Genomic DNA, 22,870 nt, shown 5'->3' on the forward strand with positions numbered 1-22,870 from the left:
ATGATGGAATGATGACCGTGAAATGCTGCGAGACGGAATGAGGACAGGACAGAACAGGCTGCACCCCAGCTAGGTCCAACAGCAAGGCAGTCTGGCCATGCTGTGTGACCCTGGGCAGGTGACTCGACTCTCTAGGCCTCAGTTTCCTCATCTGTAAAATGGGTATAAAAGTCTCTTCCTCCCCTCACATGGCTGCTGTGAAGACTGAATCGAAAGGCACACAGAGCTGTTCACACCACCTGAGAAGCAGCTGATAGACTGCAGATATTATCTTGGTGGTGGTTGTTATTATTTGTTTTTATTTTGAAAGACAGGGTCTCGCTCTGTCACCCAGACTGGAGTACAATGGTGAGATCACAGCTCACTGCAGCCTCAAACTCCTGGGCTCAAGTGATCCTCCCGTCTCAACCTCCCAAAGTGCTGGGATTACAGGCATGAGCCATTGGGCCCAGCTGATGTTATTTTTAAAAAAGTTTTTCCTGGCCTAGGCTGTCAGGGTGTCTAGCACCCTATTCCCCTTGAATTGCTAAGTGAGAGGCCCACACTGCAATCTCTTGATCTGTTTGTATTCTCCATTTAACAGACAGTGAGTCCCTGGAGGGCAAGGGCCTGGCCTGCCCTCCCCTCCATATTTGTCCCTGAAATTCTGAGTTCTGGAAACTTCTAATGGAAGGATCGAAGAGAAAGCATCAGCTCAGCCTGGCCACTAACCCCAGACATGGAAAGAAAAAAAGGAGGGATACTCTACCTTCAAAAGCCATCCCAAGGCCGGGCGCAGTGGCTCACATCTGGGATCCCAGCACTTTGGGAAGCCAAGGTGGGCAGATCACCCGAGGTCAGGAGCTCGAGACCAGCCTGACCAACATGGCAAAACCCATCACTACTAAAAATTAAAAAATTAGCCATGCGTGGTGGTGTGCGCCTGTAGTTCCAGCTACTTGGGAGGCTGAGGTAGAAGGATCACTTGAGCCCAGGAGGTGGAGGTTGCAGTGAGCTAAGATTGCACTGCACCACTGCAGTCCAGCCTGGACGACAGAGCCAGACCTTGTCTTTTTTTTTTTTTTTTTTTTAAAAAGCTATCCCAAATCCACTTGCTTCTTCTCCCCACCACCCACCTTTGCCTTCACCTGGTCCATCCCTGGCATCAACCATGAGTATCTGAGTCAGGTCCTGTCCCTCCTCTGCCCACAGCCCTCCATAGCTCCCACCTCTCTAGGGCTCAAAGCCCAGGGTTCTCCCTGCAGCCCACAAGACCCTACATGACCTATTGCCTCCTCTCCCCTCCCCATCACTCACTGGGCTCCAGCCACACAGGCCTCCTCGCTGTTCCTCCAACACGCCAGGCGTGGTCCTGCCCCGGGGCCTTGGCACACGCTGTGCCGTCTGCCTGGAATGCTCTTCCCCCACGTTATCTGCTTGGTTCCTCCTCACCTCCATCAGGGCTTTGCTCAAACATCACCTCCTCAATGAAGCCGTCCCTACAGCCCCATTAAAAATGACAACCCTCATGCCTCCCTCCCGAGTCCCCTTTGTTCCTTTACTGCTTTCTCTGATCACCCCTGACGTGCTATATATCGTATTTTGCCTATCATCTCTCTCCCTGATCCACAAAGCCATCCCCTTTATTGCTTCAGGGTCCCGGCACAGAGCCTGGTGGACAGGAGGCATCTGAGAAATCCCCCCAGATGATGGAAAGCGCAAAATCGGAGGCAGTGGCTGCGGCCAAAGCAGCCGCTGAGACCCCGGAGGCTGACGGCGGAAGCCTCCACGCCTACTCCAGCCGGGGCCTTCCTGTCCCTGTTGGCAAGCCAGGCCCCTGCCCTCTGCCATCCGGCGGCTCAACACCTGTTGTGACACAGCAGGAAGCAGGGGCGGCAGCCAGTGCCCGTGGCCTTGGCTGGACAGGTCCCTCCGGCAGGTTTAATCCCTGCCCCAGTGGGAGAGGGGGTACACGGACCTTGAAGCCAAACACACAGGCTGACACAAGCACCATCCACTTGGCTTATCCGGCTCCCGGGAAGTGGCCAGTGTAGGGACAAGCCTGATAAACATCTAGCAAATAAATGGATTTTTTCTTTTTTAATTGAGACGGAGTTCGCTCTGTCCCCCAGGCTGGAGTGCAGTGGTGTGATCTTGGCTCACTGCAAACTCTGCCTCAAACGATTCTCCTGCCTCAGCCTCCCAAGTAGCTGGGATTACAGGTGCACGCCACCATGCTGGGCTCTCATTTTTGTATCTTTTTAGTAAAGATGGGGTTTCGCCATGTTGATCAGGCTGGTCTTGAACTCCTGACCTCAGGCGATCTGCTCACCTCAGCCTCCCAAAGTGCTGGGATTACAGGCGTGAGCCACCACGTCCGGCCTGGATTTCTTTACAATCGTCACACTGTCCTCATGCTGAGCCCAGCCCTGATTTGAGGGCTTCACCCTATGAACTCACTAGATCCTCCCAAGGGAGCCTGGATGGTTGAGGTTATCATTATCCTCATTTTCCAGATGAGGAAACTGAGGCCCAGAGAGGTGGAGTCATTGCTACTAAGGGACAGAGCCATCTGGCCCTAGAATCTGGTTTTGGCCACTAATCAACACAGTCTCAACGAATGAGAAGAATAAAACAAGGGCCCGGTGCTGGCTCATGCCTGTAATCCCAGCACTGTGGGAGGCTGAGGCAGGAGGACCACTTCAGCCCAGGAGTTCGAGACCAGCCTGGACAACATAACAAGACCTTGTCTCTACAAAAAATTAAACAACAACAAAAAAATTAGCCAGGCATGGTGGTGTGCACCTATAGTCCCAGCTGCTCAGGGGGCTGAGGCAGGAGGGTCAACTGAGCCTGGGAGGTTGAGGCTGCAGTGAGCTATGATCATGCCACTGTACTCCAGCCTGGGCAACAGAGCAAGACCCTGTCTCAACAAAGAAAAATAAAAAGAATAAATCAAGGTAACAGGGAAATGTGAGTCACGTCTACGGAGCATTCCGACCTGGGGAAAAGGGCAGCTATGCTTCATCTCCCTGATGTCTCCCGACCCAGTGACATGGGCCCATTTTAGGGATGAGGAAAACTGAGTCCCTCAAGGGGGAAGCGATTTCCTGAAGGATCTACCGCCTAGAAGTGGCAGGCTCAGAGCTAATGCTAAATTCACTAAACCCTGACCCAGATCGACTACAGGGTCATTTTGTAGAGGCCTCAGTGCTGTAAGGAGTTTGGCTCGTGCCTCGTGAGTACCCACTGTGTGCCAGGCCCAGAGTGGAGAAGCCTCAGATGTCTCATTTCCAGACAGGTAAACTGAGACTGAGAAGTTCAGCTATTTGCCCAAGCCCTGAGATGTCCCCATTTTACAAACAGGTAAACTGAGGCTCAGAGAAAGAACCATTTATCCAAGCGCCAAAATTGTCTCCATTTCCAGATGGGTAAACTGAGGCTGGGAAGTTCAGCTATTTGCCCAAGCCCTGAGATGTCCTCATTTTACAAACAGGTAAACCGAGGCTTGGAGAAATAGAACCATTTATCCAAGCCCCAAAACTGTCTTCATTTCCACATAGGTAAGCTGAGGCTGAGTTCAGCTATTTGCCCAAACCCTGAGATGTCCCCATTTCACAAATAAACTGAGGCTCAGAGAAATTTAACCATTTATCCAAACCCTGAAATTGTCCCCATTTCCATTTGGGTAAACTGAGGCTCAGAGAGGTTTCAACAGTTGCCAGAGGTCACACAGCCGGCAAGAGGCAGCACTGAGCCTCAAATCTGAGGTTTCCTGACCTGACAGGGAACTGCAGGCCCCACGGTCCCCGCCTGAGCTGGCGTGAGCCTTTAGCGGAAGCCCTCCCCAGCTCTGCACAGCAGACACCCTCGCGGCCGTGCCTTGCTGGAGTATCCACAGTGACACACAGCCCTGTTGGTGGCTGGGCTTTTTCAGGCTTAAAAGGGAGGTAATATCACCTAACACCAGCTATATTTTTAAAAACCCCACAGCACTCAGGAGGCTGGCCCGTCAGCGCAGCACCACGTCCGTGGGCAGGCAGAGGCCCCGGAACTCGAGGACGTGGCTATTTTAAAGGGGCTATTTCTGGAGGCTGAGGTGAGAATGCGGGGGTGGGAGGAAGAAGCAGCCGCGGGGACCGACTCGAGCCCGCCCCGACTGGCCGACTCCCGGGTTGGGGGTGGTTAAAAGCAAGAACGTGGAAGCCACCTGCTCCCCGCAAGCACTGCCTCCAGCCCGCAGAAAGACCTCAGGCGGCCGGGCGCGGTGCTCATGCCTGTCATCCCAGCACTTTAGGAGGCTGAGGCGGGCGGATCACCTGAGGCAGGGAGTTCGAGACCAGCCTGACCAACATGGTGAAACCCTGCCTCTACTAAAAATACAAAATTAGCCGGGCATGGTGGCGCACGCCTATAATCCCAGCTATTCGAGAGGCTGAGGCAGGAGAATCGCTTGAACCCGGGAGGTGGAGGTTGCAGTGAGCCAAGATCGTACCATTGCACTCAAGCCTGGGCAACAAGAGCAAAACTCCGTCTCAAAAAAAAAAAAAAAAAAAAAGAAGAAGAAGAAGAAGAAAAAGAAAAAACAGACCTCATGCATTTCAGAGCCTCATTTCTTCCCCTGGGAAGAGCTGCTTAGGCAAAATGTATGCCTGGAGCCCTACTGTGTGCAGATGCTGCCATGGACATGGTAGAGGAGGAGAGAAGCAGATAATGAGTATGAAGCATTCGAGGCTGGGAGAGGTGGCTCACGCCTCTAATCCTGGCACTTTGGGAGGCCGAGGAGGGCAGATCATTTGAGGTCAGGAGTTTGAGACCAGCCTGACCAACATGGCAAAACCCCATTTCTACTAAAAATACAGAAAAATTAGCTGGGCATGGTGGCACATGCCTGTAATCCCAGCTACTCAGGAGGCTGAGGCAGGAGAATTGCTTCAATCCGGGAGGCAGAGGTTGCATGAACCAAGATCACACCACTGCACTCCCGCCTGGGTGACAGAGTGAAACTCCGTCTCAAAAAAACAAACAAAAAAGCATTCAACAGAGAAATGGTGGCAAGGGCTTTGAGTCAAAGAGAGCAGAAGGGGGAAGACAGGAAACTAGGTGGTGGGGCAGGCTGCAAGTTTAAATAGGGTGATCGGGGAGGCCTCATTTAAAAGTGACCTGAGACGTGAAGGAAGTCAGGGAGGTTGCTGTTTGGGGAAAAGCATTCCAGGCAGAGGGCACAGACTGTGCAAAGGCCCTGGGGCGGGACCATGCCTGGTGTATTGGAGGAACAGCGAGGAGGCCCGTGTGGCTGGAACAGAGTGAGGACGGGGAGAGAGGAAGGAGGGGACGGCAGGGAAGGGATGGAGCAGGTTGTGCAAGGCCTGGTGGGCTACAGGGAGGACTTGGGGTTTTCCCCCAAGAGGTGAGAGCCATAGAGGGCTATAGGCAGAGGAGGGATGGGACCTGACTCAAGAACTGAAAGATGTCATTGTGGGAAGACAGACTGTGGGAATGAGGGCTGGGGTCACACCAGAGCAGAGGTGACCGTGTTGGTCCAGGTGATGATGGGAGCTGGACCAGGTGGAGGCAGAGGATAGAACAAAAATGAAAAAATGAAGGCCACGTGCAGTGGCTCATGCCTGTAATACCAGCACTTTGGGAGGCCAAGGTGGGTGGAATGCTTAAGCTCAGAAGTTCAAAACCAGCCTGGCCAACATGGTGAAACCCCATCTCTACAAAAAATACAAAAATCAGCCAGCATGGTGGCACGTGCCTGTCATTCCAGCTACTCGGGAGGCTGAGGCAGGAGAATCGCTTGAACCTGAGACAGAGGCTGTGGTGAGCCAAGATTATGCCACTGCACTCCAGCCTGGGAGACAGAGCGAAACCCTGCCTCAAAAAAAAAAAAAAAAAAAAAAAAAGAAAGAAAAAAAGGGAAAGCAAGCTGGCCTGTGTACAGTACTCAGCGCACAGTCCGGCACACAGCAAGTGCTCAGCATACATTGGCTTGTATTATTTTTAGGGTCTTAGGCTCTGTACTCTGAACCTGAAACCCGCTTCCCCTGGCAGGACCCAGGAGAAGACAGTGACCCCTGTGCCTGGGAGCATTTTGTGTATGGAAGGGGACACAGTTTTCACTCTCATGTCCCTATTGGCCTGTCCCAGGCTGGCGGCAGCTGATCAGACCAGGGCCAGATCTGATGGTTGCAATGGAGGAGGAGAGGAGAAGGAGGTAGTGACCCATGGGTTAAAGGGGGGAGGCCCCCAGGTGTGTCAGGATGCAGCCCTGCCACAAAGCGTGGGGTCAGCCCAATCCTAACTCAACTCTACTTGCTGTGTGACCCTGCACAAGTCACATCCCCTCTCTGAGCCTCGGTTTCCTTATCTGCGAAAGTGGGGCAGTGGTTGCAGGCTTCTCACAGGGCTGTGCAGATTCAACAGGACCACGAGGCACTCAGCTAGAGGTGGGATCCGTGTCAGCACCCATCATGCTTGGTCGTTCACCATCATCCCCATCCTCACACTGTTTGCAAAACTTCGAGTCTGGGGTCTCTGGAGCACAGGGGCAAGAAGAGCCACATCCCCAGGAGAGCCACATCCCCAGAAGGTGTCCCAAGGTTCATGTTCTGCCACCGTTTGGATCCAGTTGAATTGCAAATGCCAGAAAAAGCACAAATAAGGAATGATTTCTCTTTTCACCTAAGGGAAGCTGCCAGGTTGGCCATTCAGGGTTATTTTCCCCTCCCCGACAATCACTGGGGCCCAGGCCCCTTCCACCTCTTTGATCCCCCATTCTTATCTATGACACCTGCCTCATGGTCCAAAATGGCTGCCTGAGCACCTGCCATCATCTCCATATTCCAGCTGACAGGTAGAGAGGAGCATGTGCCACTTCTCTTGAAAGGCATTTCCAGAAAATCCTGCTTATTTACGCCATGGGTCAGCATTGAATCATATGGCACAGACAGCTGCAAGGTGCACTGAGAAATGTTTTCTTTCCCCCAGGTGGCCATGTGCCCAGATAAAAATTGTAAAGTTCAACTGCTACGGAGTCGGGGGATATGATGGGATATTGGGAGATCCCGCCACAATATCTCATGTGGGCCATGGGGCCAGGTCTTGGGTCTCAAACCAGCGCATCTGAGACATTTTAACCTGGAAAGAGAAGAGAGACGTCATCGGGGCCGGCCCCCTGCCTCCACACCACGACGGTTTCACTCATTCCAACATCCACCTCCCAAAAGACTCCAAGGTCAGAAGCAGTGGCCACGACCCAAGCACAGGCTCTGCCCAAGGCGTCCCCAAGGACAGGCCCCCACCGGCAATCTGTGCTCCCCAAGCACTGGGGCTGAGCCACCAAGCACCCCCATTCAGCCTCCTTCCTGCCTGCCGAGGACACCGGCCAATTCATCTCCTTCTCCTCAGTAAACAACTGTCAGGGAAAATAAATAGTTTTTAATAGGCTCATTAATTGAATTCAGGAAGAAATCACCTTCTCCCCAGGCCATGGGGAAGCAACGCTCAGTTCAAGAAATTCAGGCCGAAGGCAGAAGGGGCTCAGCCTCCCAGAAAGTCCAGGAGATGCCCCAAACAGTTGTAGTCACATTCAATAACACTGGGACAGGCATGGTGGCTCATGCCTGTAATCCCAGCACCTGGGGAGGCTGGGGCAGGCAGATCACTTGAGGTCAGGAGTTCGAAACCAGCCTGGCCAACATGGTGAAACGCTGTCACTACCAAAAATACAAAAATTAGCCGTATGTGGTGACACACGCCTGTAATCCCAGCATCTCGGGAGGCTGAGGCAGGAGAATCGCTTGAACCCGGGAGGTGGGGGTTGCAGTGAGCCGAGATCGGGCCATTGCACTCCAGCCTGGGCGACAGAGTGAGACTCCATCTCAAGAAAACAAAACAAAATACTGACTCAACCAGCAAGGGGGTCATTCTGTGCTGGGCTTAAGGCTAAAAGCCTCAGGTGGGTGCTAGGATGTCTTAAACACCTCAGGGGTGCTCAGGCTTCAGCTTTCAGCCTGGAACAGACAGAGGCAAAAGCAGCAAGAATTTAATGCCCTTGTTTTGCTCTCACCACATTTATTTTTAAGGTTGTACCTTCAAGGACATACCAGGTTTCCGTTCACAAGAGCAAGACAAAGTTTTCTCTTTTACGTTTTAAAAGAGAATGGGTTTAAACAAAACGTGTCAAGTACTGGCTGGGCACGGTGGCTCGTGCCTGTAATCCCAGCGCTTTGCGAGGCTGAGGCGGGAGGATCGCCTGAGCCCAGGAGCTTGGGGCTGCAGTGAGCTATGATCGTGCCACTGCACTCCAGCCTGGGTGACAGAGTGAGATGCTGTCAAAAGAAAAAGAAAGAAAAAAAAAAGAAACGAAGAAAAGAAAGGAAGAGAAGAGAAAGAGAAAATGAGGGAGAAGGAAGGAGAAAGAAGGGAAGAGAAGGAAGGAAGGAGGGAGGGAGGGAGGGAGGATAGAAGTAAAGAAAGAACAAGAGAGAAAGAAAGAAAAAGGAAGGAAGGAAGGAAAGAAGGAATGAAGCAAGCAAGCTAGCTAGTCCTTAGGCGATGGGGCAGCAAAACACCAGATATAGAGTCCAAAGACCCTGCAGAGTGACCTCGGCACAGACCTAGAGAGTCACAACTGACCCTCCACACCTGCTGAGGGTTCTGTCCACATTGACGTGACTCAGTTTCCCCACTGAGGCTGAGGTGGTCCAAGGGTAGCCCCGCTCGCACTCCCAGCCCAGCTCCTGCCAGCGTGGCAGCCTGCCCTGCGACTCGGTCTGCGCAGGGCTTGCCGTAGGTGCCCGCCAATCTGCTCTCCGCACTGCAGTGGGCACACTCCAAGCGCAACTCAATACCCCGGACACAGCGACTCCCCAGCGCCCCCAAGCCCCATATGCAGGTCCTGCGACCTTGCTTCCAGAGGGCACTGATCATCAAGCTGTATTTTATGATATCTTAGCCAGTTTGGGGCTTACTCCAAGCGTGTTTAGCATAGATCCTTCCAATACCAAGACCCTTCTACCCAAGAGACAGCCTCACCCCCATTTTGCAGACGAGAAAACTGAGGCCCTGGAGGGTGAAACCACTGCCCCAGGGTCACACTGAACAAGCAGCTCAGACATGATTCAAACTTGCACCATTCAAATGCTAAACCCGATCCCCCAAAGATCCCCTGGCCCATTCCTGGTGAGCTCCTCAGTAACTTCTCCACCTGTCTGGCCAGACACACAGGGTGCCCAACATCCATCAGGCCTGGCTCAGTTCTTTTTGTTTTTAGAGACAGGGTCTCGCTCTGTTACCCAGAGTGCAATGGGGCATGATCATAGCTCACTGCAGCCTCAAACTCCTGGGCTCAAGCAATCCTCCCACCTCAGCCTCCTGAGTAGCTGGGATTACAGGTGCACACCACCACACCCGGCTAATTTTTTTACTTTTTATAGAGATGGGGTCTTCCTATGTTGCCCAGGTTGGACTCGATCTCCTAGCCTCAAGCAATCCTCCCATCTCAGCCTCCCAAAGTATTGGGATTACAGCCATGAGTCACCATGCCCGGGTACTGGTTGACTCTTAAAATCATCTGGCCCAACCACTGTACACTTTCTGGGGGTCCCCAGACCCTTTGGGCCTCTCACCTTCTCCTCAGGAGACAAGAAATCTCACAGACTGTTTTAGAGTTCCCTGACCTCCTGACACTGGTCCTCAGACCCCTGGCTTGAAGCCAATTACTCAGAGACATCACCCTCAAAGCCATTCCTTACCACTTCTTTTGTTTTTTTTTGTTTTTGTTTTGAGACAGAGTCTCACTCTATTGCCCAGGCTGGAGTGCAATGGCACAATCTTGGCTCACTGCAACCTCTGCCTCCCGGGTTCAAGCGATTCTCCTGACTTAACCTCCTGAGTAGCTGGGATTACTGGCACACACCACCACGGCCAGCTGTATTTTTAGTAGAGACTGGGTTTCACCATGTTGGCCAGGTTGGTCTCAAACTCCTGACCTCAGGTGATCCACCAGTCTCGGCCTCCCAAAGCGCTGGGATTACAGGCGTGCACCACCACAGCTGGCTGTATTTTTAGTAGAAAAGGGGTTTCACCATGTTGCTCAGGCTGGTCTCGAACTCCTGACCTCAGGTGATCCACCTGCCTCAGCCTCCCAAAGTGTTGGGATTATAGGCGTGAACCACCGCGCCCGGCCCTTACCACTTCTTGCCAGACACTACGGATATTCATCAGCTCAGAGAGGGTGAGCAAGTAGCTGAGAGCACACAGCATTTCCGCTGGGAACCCAGTCTCCTGGCCTCCCTGCCCAAGGGCAGAGTGAGCTGAGCTTTAATCCCAGCACTTTGGGAGGCTGAGACAGGTGGATCACCTGAGGACAGGAGTTCAAGACCAGCCTGGCCAACATGGTGAAACCCAGTCTCTACTAAAAATACAGCCAGCCATGGTGGTGCGTGCCAGTAATCCCAGCTACTCAGGAGGTTGAGGTCACTGTGGCTGCCTCTCCCTGCAACATCACCCACTCCGAGTACTCTCAGAGCAGGACCAGGGGGCTCTTGCTGTGAGCTGCCGAGGCAGGGCTTTCCCCATCATTACCTGCCTGATCAAGGTCATTAGACGTGGCAATGCTGGTACACGCAGGCCAGGCGGTAGCTCCCAGGAGCCAGACGGGCTGATCTGGAGGGGCGGGTGAGGTGTGGCGGAGCTTAGGTCCTAAAGGGGTTGCAGACAGAGCGATATCGTGAGGGAAAACAAAACGGGGTGCGGGAGGCAATGGCGGGGTAGGGGTGGCCTGGCCAGAAACAGAGCTCCCGGCAGAGCAAGGACAAAGGCCTGGAGGTGGAAACAGGAGAAGGATAGGTCTACATGGAGTGGAACGGACAAAGGGGAGGGGAAGAGGAGGAGAGATGAGGCCAGCGGCCCACAGAGAGGAGTCTGAGGGTGCCATCCAGAGAGGGAAAGTGACTTCCCCGAAGTCACACAGCTCGTAAGGGGCAAAAACACATCCTGGCCGATAACATCTTTGCTCCCAGCCACTGTGGGAAGTGGCCTCTGGCTACATCGTAGCTAACAATCCAGCTACAGAATTGCAGCCCCCAGTGCAAAATGAAACCGTGGGGTTTTCCTTGTTTAAAAATTATTAAGGCCGGGCACAGTGGCTCACGCCTGGAATCCTAGCACTTTGGGAGGCTGAGGCGGGCAGATCACGAGGTCAGGAGATCAAGACCATCCTGGCTAACACAGTGAAACTCTGTCTCTACTAAAAATACAAAAAATTAGCCGGGTGTAATAGTGGGCGCCTGTAGTCCCAGCTATTGGGGAAGCTGAGGCAGGAGAATGGCGTGAACCCGGGAGGTGGAGCTGGCAGTGAGCTGAGATCATGCCACTGCACTCCAGCCTGGGCAACAGAGCAACACTCCATCTCCTAAAAAAAAAAAAAAATTAAGAATTTCCAGGTCGGGCATGGTGGCTCACGCCTGGGATCCCAGCACTTTGAGAGGCCGAGGTGTGTGGATCACCTGATCTCAGGAGTTCAACACCAGTCTGGCCAACATGCTGAAACTCTGTCTCTACCAAAAATACAAAAACTAGCCGCCGAGCATGGTGGCACATGCCTATAATCCCAGCTACCTGGAAGGCTGAGGCAGAATCTCTTGACCCCAGGAGGTGGAAGTTGCCGTGAGCCGAGATCACGCCATTGCACTCCAGCCTGGGTGACAGAGCAAGACTCTGTCTCAAAAAAAAAAAAAAAAAAAATTATTAAGAATTTCCAGACGGCATCAACAGAGCATCCATCTAAATGCAGCCCCTTCTGATCGTGGGCCCCCGAGTGACTGCAGGGCCCCCGTGAAGCTGGGCCTGGGTGCAGCCTCCAGGAGTGTAGAAACGACATCCTGTCCAGAAACAACGCCTCTGTAAACCTGAGAAAGGGCTTGTCATTCCCAGTTCTCACCCTTCCTTTGTGCCTCAGTTTCCCCATCCGCAAGACAAGGGGACACCTGCCACCTCTCAGGGCAGTTCTGAGGAGGAAATGAGAAAACACAGGGCCAGGCACACTGGTACTGGTGGCGGAGCATTAGCGGCCCCCACCACGGGGGACTTTCCGCCCGCTTGGGTTAGTTCTCCTCTGTTGCAGCTGTTTGGAGAATGTGGGTTTGAGGTTCCAACCTCATCACCCCTAACGGTTCACGAAGCTGTGGGGAGAGAGGGTAGACTCATCCAGCTCCTCCTGTGCACCTTGGGCTCCTGGCCCCGTTATCAATGTGACACCACTGAATTCCCAGTGATGCAGCAGGCAAGACTCGTCCCCATTTCACAGATGAGAAAACTGAGGCTCAGGGGAAGGAAATAATGAGGTCATCTCACACAGCCAGGGAGGGTCTTTGTCAGGATCCGAACCTGGGGCGTTCAGACCCCTAATGCCCTTCCCCAGCAGGGCCGGAGTCTGGGCTCCCAGGGCCAGATGGGGCCAAGAGAAAAAGTCCTGGGACCTGGCAGCCTCTCTGCACCCTGCTGATATCTGGGAGTTGAAGCCAGCACTGTTGCCGGAAACCCCGGCAGTTCACACTCTCTAGAATTCATCCGACAGGGGCAATTACCCACTTCCAATAATCAATGGGGCAGTGGAACCAGGACAGATGTGCAGAGGGAACCCATTAGCAATCTAAGCGTTCTGGCCCCGCGAGACGTCAGGGAGCGTGTTGGGTGGACGCTCAGGGACAAAGGCACCATCTGCCTGATTTCTCTCGCTGTCTTGGGTCTTCAGCATAAGTCAGGGCTTCTTTTTTTAAAAAAAAAAAAAAAAAAAAAAGAGAAGGCCTTGCTCTGTTGCCCAGGCTGGAGTGGAGTGATGCAATCATAGCTCACTGCAGCCTCAAACTCTTAGGCTCAAGCAATCCTCCCACCTCAGCCTCCCCAGTAGCTGGGACCGTACGTGTGCACCCCAACCCTCGGCTGATTTTTTTTTGTTTTTTGTAGAGATGAGGTCTCACTGTGTTGCCCAGTCTGATCTTGAACTCCTAGGCTCAAGCAATCCTCCCGCTTTAACCTCCCAAAGTGTTGGGATTATGGACGTGAGCCACCATGCCTGGCAAAATCAGGGTTTCTAAACCTCAGCACAGTGTACATGAGGGTGGGGTCATTATCTGGGATGGGGTCATCCTGGCCATTACACAGAGTTGAGCAGCATCTCTGGCTTCCACCTACTCCATACCAGCAGCACCCCCCTGGACATGACACCCAAAAATGTCCCCAGACGTTGCCAAGTGTGCCCAGGGGAGCAAAAGTGACCCCGGCTGAGAACCACAGCAGTACACTCAACGAGTAATACTGGTAACCCGGGTGCTCCAGCCCCAAGAGCAAACGACTGCGCTACAGAAAGAACGAGGGATGGAGAAGCAGGTCCTGCCGCCAGTAGATAATTCGCAGCCCTGCCCCGCGGGACAGCCGGCTTCCTTCTACGCAGTATTTAATTTAAGTCAAGTTTATCATTATGACCAATATTAATATAATCAGAGCCAACGTTTATCGAGCGCGGACGCTGGCCCAGGCCCTGTTCTCAGCACTCTCTGTAAGCTATCACACTGGTGCCTCTAAAGAACCGCAGAGGTGGCTGGGAGTCTTAAACCCATTTCACAGGCCTGGAAACTGAGGCCCGCGGACGGCAATGGAGGTGTCAGAAGTCACGCAACTTTTAATTGTTGGGGAAGGGGTCAAAGTCCACGGTGGCCCTGGATTTCTGTACTGTGCCATGTTAAGATGTTTCAACCCAAGGATGTTAAAATAGGGCAATTTTTTTTTTTTTTTAGACAGAGTCTCACTCTATCGCCCAGGCTGGAGTGCAAGTGGCATGATCTCAGCTCACTGCAACCTCCGCCTCCCAGGTTCAAGCGATTCTCCTGTCTCAGCCTCCCAAGTAGCTGCGATTACAGGTATGCACCACCATGCCCAGATTATTTTTGTATTTTTAGTAGAGGCGGGGTTTCACCATGTTGGCCAGGCTGGTCTCAAACTTCTGACCTTAGGTGATCTGCCTGCCTTGGTCTCCCAAAGTGCTGGGATTACAGGCGTGAGCCATCATGCCCAGCCAAAATTGGGCAATTTTACTTAAAATCTAGATTTCTGCTTTTCCTTGGAAAAACCAACAGATCTGGCCCTGGAGCCATTCAGGGCTTCCTTGGAGGTTGAAGAAGCCTTTTTGGCCCATACGACCCGCTGGAGTGGAGACTCCAGCCCTGACAGGCGTTATGGCTTGAGAATCACACACCCGCCATGGCTTCCTGCCTCGGTTTCTCCCTTTGGACTGGTGAAAGGGGTCCCTGTCCATCCTCCTGCGCAAGGCCCAGCAGCAGGCAGGCAGGCATGGCTGTGTGGTCTTGGGCAAGTTGCTCTCCCTCTCTGGGCCTTGGCCTGACAGATGTTCCAAGAAGCATTCCCAACATTCCAGGTTTTCTGTTGATCCTGATGTTGGCAGCCCAGCTCTGGGGGCTTTCAGAGAACTCTGACCGCACATCTAAAAAATGCAATTTGTTAGACGCGGTGGCTCACGCCTGTAATCCCGGCACTTTGGGAGGCCAAGGCAGGCGGATCACTTGATGTCAGGAGTTTGAGACCAGCCTGGCCAATGGGGTAAAACCCCATCTCTACCAAAAATACAGAAATTAGCCAGATGTGGTGGCGGGTGCCTGTAATCCCAGCTACTCGGGAGGCTGAGGCAGGAGAACCACTTGAACCCGGGAGGCGGAGATTGCAGTGAGCTGAGATCACGCCGTTGCACTCCAGCCTGGCGACAGAGCAAGACTGTCTCAAATAAATAAAATAAAATAAAAAATAAATAAAAAATGCCAATTCGCCAGGTGTGGTGGCTCACACCTGGAATCCCAGCATTTTCCGAGGCCAAGGCAGGCAGATAGCTTGAACCCAGGAGTTTGAGACCAGCCTGAGCAATATGGTGAAACCCATCTCTACAAAAAAAAAATAAATAAATAATAATAATAATAATAATAATAATACAAAAGTCAGCTGGGCGTGCTGGTGGATGCCTATAGTCCCCAGCTACTTGGGAGGCTGAGGTGGGAGGATTGCTTGAGCCCAGGAGTTAAGACACTGCAGTGAGCCATTATGGCATCACTGCACTCCAGCCTGAGCAACAGTGTGAGTCCTGTCACACACACACACACACACACACAATGCGATTCGAACTCCTTGGGGTGGGGGGTCCTGTGTGGTCTTCCCCAGCTAAAGTCAACTCTTCTCTTCTTGTTTCCGCCCCCCTCACCTCCAGCCACAAAGCAGCAGGTGCCACTCTCAGTCTCTGTCCTTGGTGCCCCCCACACCAGTTCATCTGTCTCCACTTATGATAGAGGCAATGTCAAAGCACCCATTTTACAGATCAGGAAACTGAGGCACAGAACAGCTTTATTACTAGCCCAAGCCCCACAGCTGCTTAGATTCTGGCTTCCAAGTTCCTTAGCAGCAGGTTTCCAGCAATCCTGATGGAATGAATGAATTAATGAACTGGTGAATATTCGAATGAATGCATGCATGCTCGCTCGCACACCATGCTTGTCAACCGATCACTTTCCTGAGTGCCCATCAAATGACTGCTGTTAAACCCCCAAATCCCCCCCAAACTCCCCCCTTTGGTGATCACTCGGGCCCACCAGGGGCTCTGGAAGTTGGGAGCCACATGTGGAGTCCCTGGAGTGCCTGGAGCTCCCAAGGCAGCCACGTGTCCTCCCTGTCCACCATCCAGGCCCCCTGTGGTTCAGCTCCCGCCAGTCGCCCAGTCCTGCCGCAGAAGTGGGGCGGCCTTGATTAAGCAGCCAGTGAAGGGGAACGCCCCAGTTTGCAGTGGCTGAGTCATCCTGACATCTCCCTGGTGCTGGACCCCATCGGGGGGCTGAGGGCGGGGTAGCGGGGCGCGGGTGGACACTGGAGAGCCCCTCTTGGGCAGGTCCTTCAACATATCAGTGTAGCTCCCATGTTGTCAAAAATAATAACAAAAACAGAATAGAGGTGGCAGCTACATTCTAGGTGCCGTTCTGAATCTGTGCTTACACACGTTAACTCATTTCTTCCTCCTAACAATCCCTCAAGGTGGGCACTGTTACTCTTCTCCATAGACAGATGAGGAAGACGGAAGCACAGAGAGGTTGAGCAACTTGCCCCAGGTCACACAGCCAACAAGTCGGCAGAGCCGGGATTTGAACCCCATGCAGCCTCAGTCCAGCATCCTTGCTCTTAACCTCTGAGAAAAGGCAGTCAAGAGCCCTGGGGTGTGTGTGTGCGGGGGGTGTCTCTGTAGCGATTCAGGTGGCCCCCGCAGCAGATGGACTGCTGTCCAAACAAACATCCCTGACAATCGGGCAGAGCTCCTTCCAGGCGTTAGGAATCCAGGTTGTGGCAGCCAACAGCTTGTGGGCTGTGTGAAGTGACCTCAGGCCAGTGAAGGCCCCTCCCTGTGCCTCAGTTTCCCTCTCTGCAAAATAGGGCTCAGATCACAGCAACTCCGCTGACAGGGGACGGCAGGTTGGAGGAGACAAGGATGCTACTGACTTGCTTACTTAGCAGAGGGCCTGGCACGGGGCGCCAACTCTAAATAGTCGGAGCAGCTGTTATTATCCCCCCGACATCCCCTCATTTGCTGATCACGGGGGTTAATTATAAGCGGCATTAAATTATACACACACAGACGCGCCAACCTCGCTTCCCCAGAACCCCTGAATTTCCGCAAACTCTCAATTACCCACGTGACAGCGCGACGATGGGCCATCCTCCCAGCCTCTCTCCCCACAGCCTGCCTCATCCGAGGGTCCCAGGCTTCCAGAGCCATGGCTTCTCCGCCCGCCGGATACCCCTCTGGGTGTCCAGGAGCGGAAGGAAGGATGCATGCGACTGACTGCGGACGCGTTGAGAGCCAGGGGAGGCATGTTTACCCACAGCATCTCATGTCAAGGCTCGCCGCGACGCAGACTGCGACTGTACTGATCTTAGAGATGAGAGAACACAGAGAGGTCAGGCAACCCGCCCTAGTTTGCACAGCTCAAGTGAGGAGGGTGGCTCAAGTCAGGGCTCTGACCTGGAACCCAGAGGGGTAACCTCATTCTGTAAGTGAGGAAGCTCCTGCACGGAGAACTGAAAGGGAAGAGGGGAAGTCATCCAGGAAGGAAGGAAGGCAGGCAGGCAGGTGAGATCTGGGAGAAAAAGGGGAATTTTCAGTTCTCCAGGTAGGGGGAACAGGAGACAGCTGGCCCTTCCTATAAGGGGCTTATGGCAAAGATCAAAAACAACTTAAAAGGAGCAAGGCCACCCAGATAACATAAAGAGTACGAGATGAAATCTGTCCCCATGAAACGGGACATTTGTGATCCAGCCCCAGTTACGGCGATGGGGACCGGAGGAGGGAGTCCCCATGATCCAAAAATCCAGGCTCTGAACCCCCAACCAGGGTGGGATCCGCGGGAATCAGAAGGAAACAGGAAGCCGCACAGAAACCTGGGTTTATTTTCAGATGTGGAATATCCCCTCGGCCTCTGCGGGGCGCAGAGGGTGCCTTGATTCCGGGGAACAGAAGAGGGGATTCCACGGCTAGCCCAGAATAGCACCAGCCCCAAGGTCCAGTCTGGCCAGGCCACGATGTTGGGGGACCGGCAGCTCCATGGAGGAGGAGGAGGAGGAAAAAAAAAAAAGAGAGAGACAAAAATAAAGCGATGTGAAAGTGGAGGGCCTGTCCGTGAATCACTCCTACCCGTTAATTTTCGCCTTTGGAGAAGTGTAAGCCAATTGATTTTTCAAATTCCCCACACACAACCCCCTCCCCAGCGCTTCTCAAATATCAGCCAGAGACAAGACAGAAATGGTACGTCGGGTTTTTTTTTTTCTTCCCTTTTTGGTTGAGAGTCTTTTCTTTCCTTAAAGGAAAAGGGGGGGGGGCGGGGGGGAAACCACACACTCCACACTCTTGAACCTCAGGGTTAGAGAGACCCAGGTGTCACCTGTTTCCTAGACATTTTGGGGCTGCCACTCTCTGCGTGAGACAACAGCCACCCTTTCCCTCGATCACATCCCCTACACTTCACTTCCTCTCTCCGTGTCCCCCTTCCTCAATTCAGAATGTCACCTGGTGATAAGATGACATGCATTTGAGCCTCAATCCCCTTCCAGCATCCCCTCTCCTCTGCCCCGCAAGCCACAAGCTGGCAGCTTTCCGATTCCAGAGCAAGGTAAGGTGTGAAAATGACAAAATTCACAGTTTAAAAAGCCCTTGAAACCTTCAAGCCCCGGATACGTGCCTTGGTCCGTGAATCCATGGTGAATTTTTGGTTTTTTTGTTTTGTTTTGTATCAGCTTGCCACACGAATCCTGCGAGGAACAGCAGTTATGTCTTAATCTCCTCTCCTCCTGTCCCCACCGGAGGCTGAGCCACTCTGCCTGGTGAGCGGTTGGAGGGTGGGGCGGCGGCGGGTGGTGGGGGGGAGGGTCTCTCTTCAAATTCCCCTCCCTGGGCATCTTTTGCCGCAGGGAAGGACGGAGGAAGGGCAACCTGCACAGGCTTTGCCCGAGAAGGGTTCTCATCCTCCTTGCAAATTCTAAGAGGACACCCACCCATTGGAAGGTGAGCCAGGAGCCTACCCTGGATGCAGAGGAGAGCTGGGGAGTGCCCCTTTCTGGGACCCCTGTCTCCTTCCAGAAAGTACGAGACCCTCCCAGAAGGGGGCTACAGCGGTCAGCACTGCGCCCGCCAAACCTAAAGCTCATCTCAAGATCTTCCCGTGGCTCCGACCGACTCTGCAAATGGAGCTTAATGGGTAGCAGGGGGAAGGAATTGCTCTCAGCCGAAAAACATTAAGCTTTGTCAATTATCCCCCAAACCCGCTGGGTTTATAAATATCCCTTTTTATTTTTAGGGTTTTCCCTCCCGCTCGCCCCCATCCCGAACTCTCTCCACGCCCCGCTTCTTCCCCCACGCACACGGCGGCTGCACCGTCACAGAAAGCAGGTGAACGCGGGGCCACGGGGCGCTCGGGTAGAAATGCCACGTCGCACCACCAAGTCACACCGTCCCTGCCCGTCCCTCTCCGGCCATCCCACTAACTATTGTATTGGGGCCATGCAGCCGCTGGAATAATCAGCGAAGCCACAGGTCTCCCCATCTTGGCAAGTGGAGGTGTGCGCTGCCCTCAGACATCTGTGAACCGCTGTTCAACGCCAACCCCGAAGGCAGAAGGGGAAACCAAGTCACCTCCCAGAAAGACGTTTGATGAGCAGAGATAGATTTGCCTCCAGACTGGTACCAGGTCTGGGGAAACCCAGGCAGAGCCCCAGGCTCTATGCGACCCAAAGAAGAAAAAAATGGGTGCACAGTGATGGCTCCAGGTCTCCCCACCCAGATGCTACCACGAAATCCCTGGCATCCACGAAGCTTCCCCCTGTTCCATGGTGGAAATTGGGGGAAAATGGACTTGTGTCTCCAAGCAGGGTCCATGGACACTGGACGATGCCTGAAATCCCCTGGGAGGCAGGGAAAAAAGGCGCACTGAACGCTCAACCGGGGTATAAGGAGTGATTTTTTTTTCTCTGCTGGCAGCAGGCAGGAACCTGGGGTTTGAATGTCCCCTTCTCTGTCGCCACCTCACGCAGACTTCAGAGGCTCTCAAGGTTTCCTGGAGAGGGGGAAATCGTCCCCGGAGCTGACCTGCCAACCAGTAGCACCCTCCAGCGCCTCAGCCGGGCCACGCCAAAATGACCTGTCACCCATCTCCCGCGGGGAGTGGGGAGCGGGCCAGTCCACCGCCTCTTGGGACGGCATCTCTGGACGGCCACTGACAGTACCAGTCTCTGTCACCCCCTGGGGGGTTAGGGGCAATGTCATCGGCCAGGGTGGCAGAAATAGAAAAGTGCGTGAGCTCACCAGGCAGCCTGGGTCTCCTGCGACGTTTTGTTTGCCTGAGCCCAATTAGAACAACTCTCAGGATGATGGAGTATGGCGGGCGGTGGCCCCCAGGGGGCTGGGAGGCCTAGCCCCCATGCAGAAGTGCACCGTCATGATGAGGGTGTCCCCCGGGCCTGGGGAACAGGGCAGGACCCTGCTTCCCGGAGGGAAATAATGAAGACTCCGCCAGCCTGCCAGCCAGAAAGAGATGCCCCACGGAAGGCTTTGTGGAGGGCAGCGGGGGGGTAGGGGAGGGATGCCCAGGTGGGGACTCAGTCAGGCCCAAGCTGGGGGGCTGTGGGATTTGAGGGCGGGAAGCAGCCGCCCCCAGCCCCAGCTGCCTGCCTTCCACCGCCAAAATATCAGCTGGCAAAGAAAGAAGAGCAGAGGGACAGAAGGCAGGCGCGATTGGCAGGGGGAGGGGGGCACAAAGGAAGGGACCCTGGGAGGGGGAGGGGACTTATGCAAATGGCAGATTCGACCAAGTCCCTGGGCCATTAATAAACGCTCCAGCAGCTGCCGCTGGTATCGCAGGAGCAGAGGAGCGGGATGGCTTCCTTCTCCCGGGCGAAAGGCGGCAGAAAGAGGGAAGAAGGGCGCCCCAGACAAAGAGGCGCCGTCACCCTCTGCACCCCAAGGACAGCAGCGATAGGGGGCCACCCAGAGGAGGCCAGAATCCCAGCAGCCAAAGTCCGGGTGGTGGCGGACGGGAGCCCGGAGCGTGTGGGTCCCTGTCCTTGGGACCCTAGGGGTCTCTTCCTGCCTCCTCCGGCTTCTAGGTATCATCCCTGCTGCTCAGCCGGGACTCCGACACCTCGGACACCCGCTTCACTAGCCGCGGCTGCCGGGATGTGTTTTTAGGGTCTCGGCCAGAGGCAGGAGGACCCCATGCTCAGAAGGGGGCTCCCCTAGATTGTGACGGGGGGGGACAGGGGAATCCCAGCTGAGCCCAGAAGGGGGAGGCAAGGCACCCCCAATGAGGCTCTGGGAGGTTTGTTAATTTGGGGGAATGAGGTCCCAGGAGGTGGCTGGATTTGAGGAAGGGTTGCAGAGGAAGGGGCGTTCTTGGAAGCTGCATATTTAGGGAGACGAGAAGACGATTTGAGACTGGGGAAAGAGGGTCAACCGAAGAAGGAGGTCCCAGATTTGGGGCGGGGGGTGTGGCTGAAAAAAAGATTCCCAGTTTGTGGGAAAGGTTCCCTGATTTGAGGATTCTGGAGAGAAAGCGGCCGAAGGGGAGTTCCCCAATTTGGGAAGGGGGGGAATTGGTGGGAAATGTCCAGGATTTGTAGGGGGAGGTCCGAAGGGGAGGATCTTAATTTTAGGAGAGATTCCCATAAAGAGAGGTGAACTTGGCCGCAACCTGGCCGAACCCTCGCACCCACGGCGCGGGCACTCTAACCTGGGGGGCTCCCCTCAGGGCACGCCCCGCGCCCCCTTTAACCCAGTGCCGACGGCCCCGCCCCCGGTATGACGTCACCTCCCCTCCCCCCGCAGCCCCCGGGGGCTCCCGGGGCGTGCGGAACCCGCGGGGCTGGCGGTTCCAGGGGCGGCTTCCCCACTCTCGGGATCCCCACGGGGCCCCCAGCGCGGAGGGGAGACTGGGGTGCTGGGCGTGCGCGTCTGCCTGCCAGAGCCCCTGGGGCTGGGGGCTGAGGCTCGCCCCTGGGTGGGGAGGCTGGAAGGGGGCGCCGAGGCCGCAGAAGGGTGGGGCAATGCCCGAGTGCCGGAGGGGCGACCTCCCATAAGGCAACGACAGGGCCCGGAGTGTTCCAGGGGAGACGGCGTAGACTAGGGGGTCTCCAGGGGAGGGAGACCCGGAGAGGGAAGGCGGCGGGCGCAGCAGCCCTGGAGCCACCCCGCCTGGAGCCACCCGTCCCGGCTCCTCTCCGCTCCGGGGCGCCCGCATGCCCCCCATCCCCCGGCACAGCGCCCCCTGCCTCCAGGACCCGCCCGGGGACCCGGGCCGGGCGCCGCCGGGGCCGGCACCGGCTCCGCACACACGCGCGCCCCCCTCCGCGCCTCTGCCCCGCCCGCAGCCCGGGGTGGTGCAGCCGGCGGCGCTGGGCAGCTTCCAATGCCGCGCTCTGGGCGCTTCCAGCCCAGCCCCCTCCCACGCCGCGGACGAAGCCCCCCCAGCACCCCCTGCCGAGCGCCCCCAGCGCGGCCCCGGCCCTGTCCCTCGGGGCATTGTCCGGGCGCAGCTACCGGGGCGCAGCGGCTGGGCGTGCAACTGGCTGCAGCCGAGCATCCTCCGAGCACAATGGCCGTGCAGGCTTCCCCGGCACAAAGCCGGCGCGCTGCCCACTCGGCTGCCTCCGAGACCCCCCTTGGAGCGCCTGCATTTTTTTTTCCTCTAATCCATGATTTTATTTTTTTTTTTGGCTTTACCTGGAGGCTGGCTGGGCTGGGCTCCCCCGGCTCTGCCCCGCTTCACATCGTGGCTGTTGCATGGGATCCGAGCGGAGCCCGAGCGCCAGCGGCTCGCGGCGTGCGCGCGCCGGCCGGGCTGCCGGGCGGGCGGCGCGAGGACACTCACTGCGGCTCGCGCTCCCCTAGCTCCCGCTCGCGCGCCCCCCCAGCCGGTGACGTCATCCCTTCCGCCAGCGCCGCCGCCGCCGCCGCCGGGTCGGGGGCAGGGCCGGCCCGTGCGCGTCACTGCGCAGCCGCGCGGCCGCCACGCCCCCCGGCCAATGGGACGGCGCAGCGCGGTCACGTGGCTCCGGGGTGTTTAAAGGGCCGCGGGAGCACGTGGGGCGCGGGGCTTCGCGGGACACGTGGGCGGCTGGGGTGGTGGTGGTGGTGGCGGCTGCGGCGGCGGCGGGAAGGGCCCCTGGGGCTACTGTCCGTGCGGGAGCCCCAGCGTCCTGGGTGCAAAGGGCATGGCACTTTCTGTGCGCTGCCCTAAACTGTGCCACGGCTCCCCAGTACCCTTGGAATAAAATCCCGCCTCCTCTCTGC

The 22,870-nt window shown here is 55.4% G+C and overlaps 1 protein-coding gene and 1 long non-coding RNA gene across 15 annotated transcripts in view, besides 7 other annotated features; one reads left to right on the forward strand and one right to left on the reverse strand.

The window, feature by feature from the left end:
• PTPRS (protein tyrosine phosphatase receptor type S) overlaps nt 1-22,449 on the reverse strand; it is a 135,305-nt gene extending 112,856 nt beyond the window's left edge. For all 13 annotated transcript variants that reach the window (XM_047439166.1, XM_047439164.1, NM_130853.3 and 10 more), the window contains exon 1: nt 22,301-22,449. The gene's annotated coding sequence lies outside the window, so the exon portion shown is untranslated. The remainder of the gene's footprint in view (nt 1-22,300) is intronic.
• Nucleotides 1,327-1,828: an enhancer, noted in NCBI's record as "H3K4me1 hESC enhancer chr19:5319701-5320202 (GRCh37/hg19 assembly coordinates)". NCBI's record gives its function as "activates a minimal SCP1, AML or CMV promoter by ChIP-STARR-seq in primed H9 embryonic stem cells {active_cell/tissue: H9 hESC(primed)}" and the evidence as "EXISTENCE:reporter gene assay evidence [ECO:0000049][PMID:30033119]".
• Nucleotides 1,829-2,328: an enhancer, noted in NCBI's record as "H3K4me1 hESC enhancer chr19:5320203-5320702 (GRCh37/hg19 assembly coordinates)". NCBI's record gives its function as "activates a minimal SCP1, AML or CMV promoter by ChIP-STARR-seq in primed H9 embryonic stem cells {active_cell/tissue: H9 hESC(primed)}" and the evidence as "EXISTENCE:reporter gene assay evidence [ECO:0000049][PMID:30033119]".
• Nucleotides 3,852-4,121: an enhancer, noted in NCBI's record as "active region_13800". NCBI's record gives its function as "activates an Ori minimal core promoter by ATAC-STARR-seq in GM12878 lymphoblastoid cells {active_cell/tissue: GM12878}" and the evidence as "EXISTENCE:reporter gene assay evidence [ECO:0000049][PMID:35858748]".
• Nucleotides 11,791-11,900: an enhancer, noted in NCBI's record as "active region_13801". NCBI's record gives its function as "activates an Ori minimal core promoter by ATAC-STARR-seq in GM12878 lymphoblastoid cells {active_cell/tissue: GM12878}" and the evidence as "EXISTENCE:reporter gene assay evidence [ECO:0000049][PMID:35858748]".
• Nucleotides 12,001-12,080: an enhancer, noted in NCBI's record as "active region_13802". NCBI's record gives its function as "activates an Ori minimal core promoter by ATAC-STARR-seq in GM12878 lymphoblastoid cells {active_cell/tissue: GM12878}" and the evidence as "EXISTENCE:reporter gene assay evidence [ECO:0000049][PMID:35858748]".
• On the forward strand, nt 18,132-19,703 carry LOC105372252 (uncharacterized). Of its 2 annotated transcripts, XR_936279.3 has the most exons (5): nt 18,132-18,200; nt 18,325-18,411; nt 18,499-18,592; nt 18,885-18,976; nt 19,094-19,703. It is a non-coding gene; the product is annotated as an uncharacterized LOC105372252 (long non-coding RNA). The 2 variants fall into 2 exon arrangements; XR_007067105.1 differs by lacking the exon at nt 18,499-18,592.
• Nucleotides 19,837-20,510: an enhancer, noted in NCBI's record as "H3K4me1 hESC enhancer chr19:5338211-5338884 (GRCh37/hg19 assembly coordinates)". NCBI's record gives its function as "activates a minimal SCP1, AML or CMV promoter by ChIP-STARR-seq in primed H9 embryonic stem cells {active_cell/tissue: H9 hESC(primed)}" and the evidence as "EXISTENCE:reporter gene assay evidence [ECO:0000049][PMID:30033119]".
• Nucleotides 22,377-22,656: a silencer, noted in NCBI's record as "silent region_9923". NCBI's record gives its function as "represses an Ori minimal core promoter by ATAC-STARR-seq in GM12878 lymphoblastoid cells {active_cell/tissue: GM12878}" and the evidence as "EXISTENCE:reporter gene assay evidence [ECO:0000049][PMID:35858748]".

Source organism: Homo sapiens, chromosome 19, assembly GCF_000001405.40.
Source record: "Homo sapiens chromosome 19, GRCh38.p14 Primary Assembly".
NCBI classification, from domain to species: domain Eukaryota; kingdom Metazoa; phylum Chordata; class Mammalia; order Primates; family Hominidae; genus Homo; species Homo sapiens.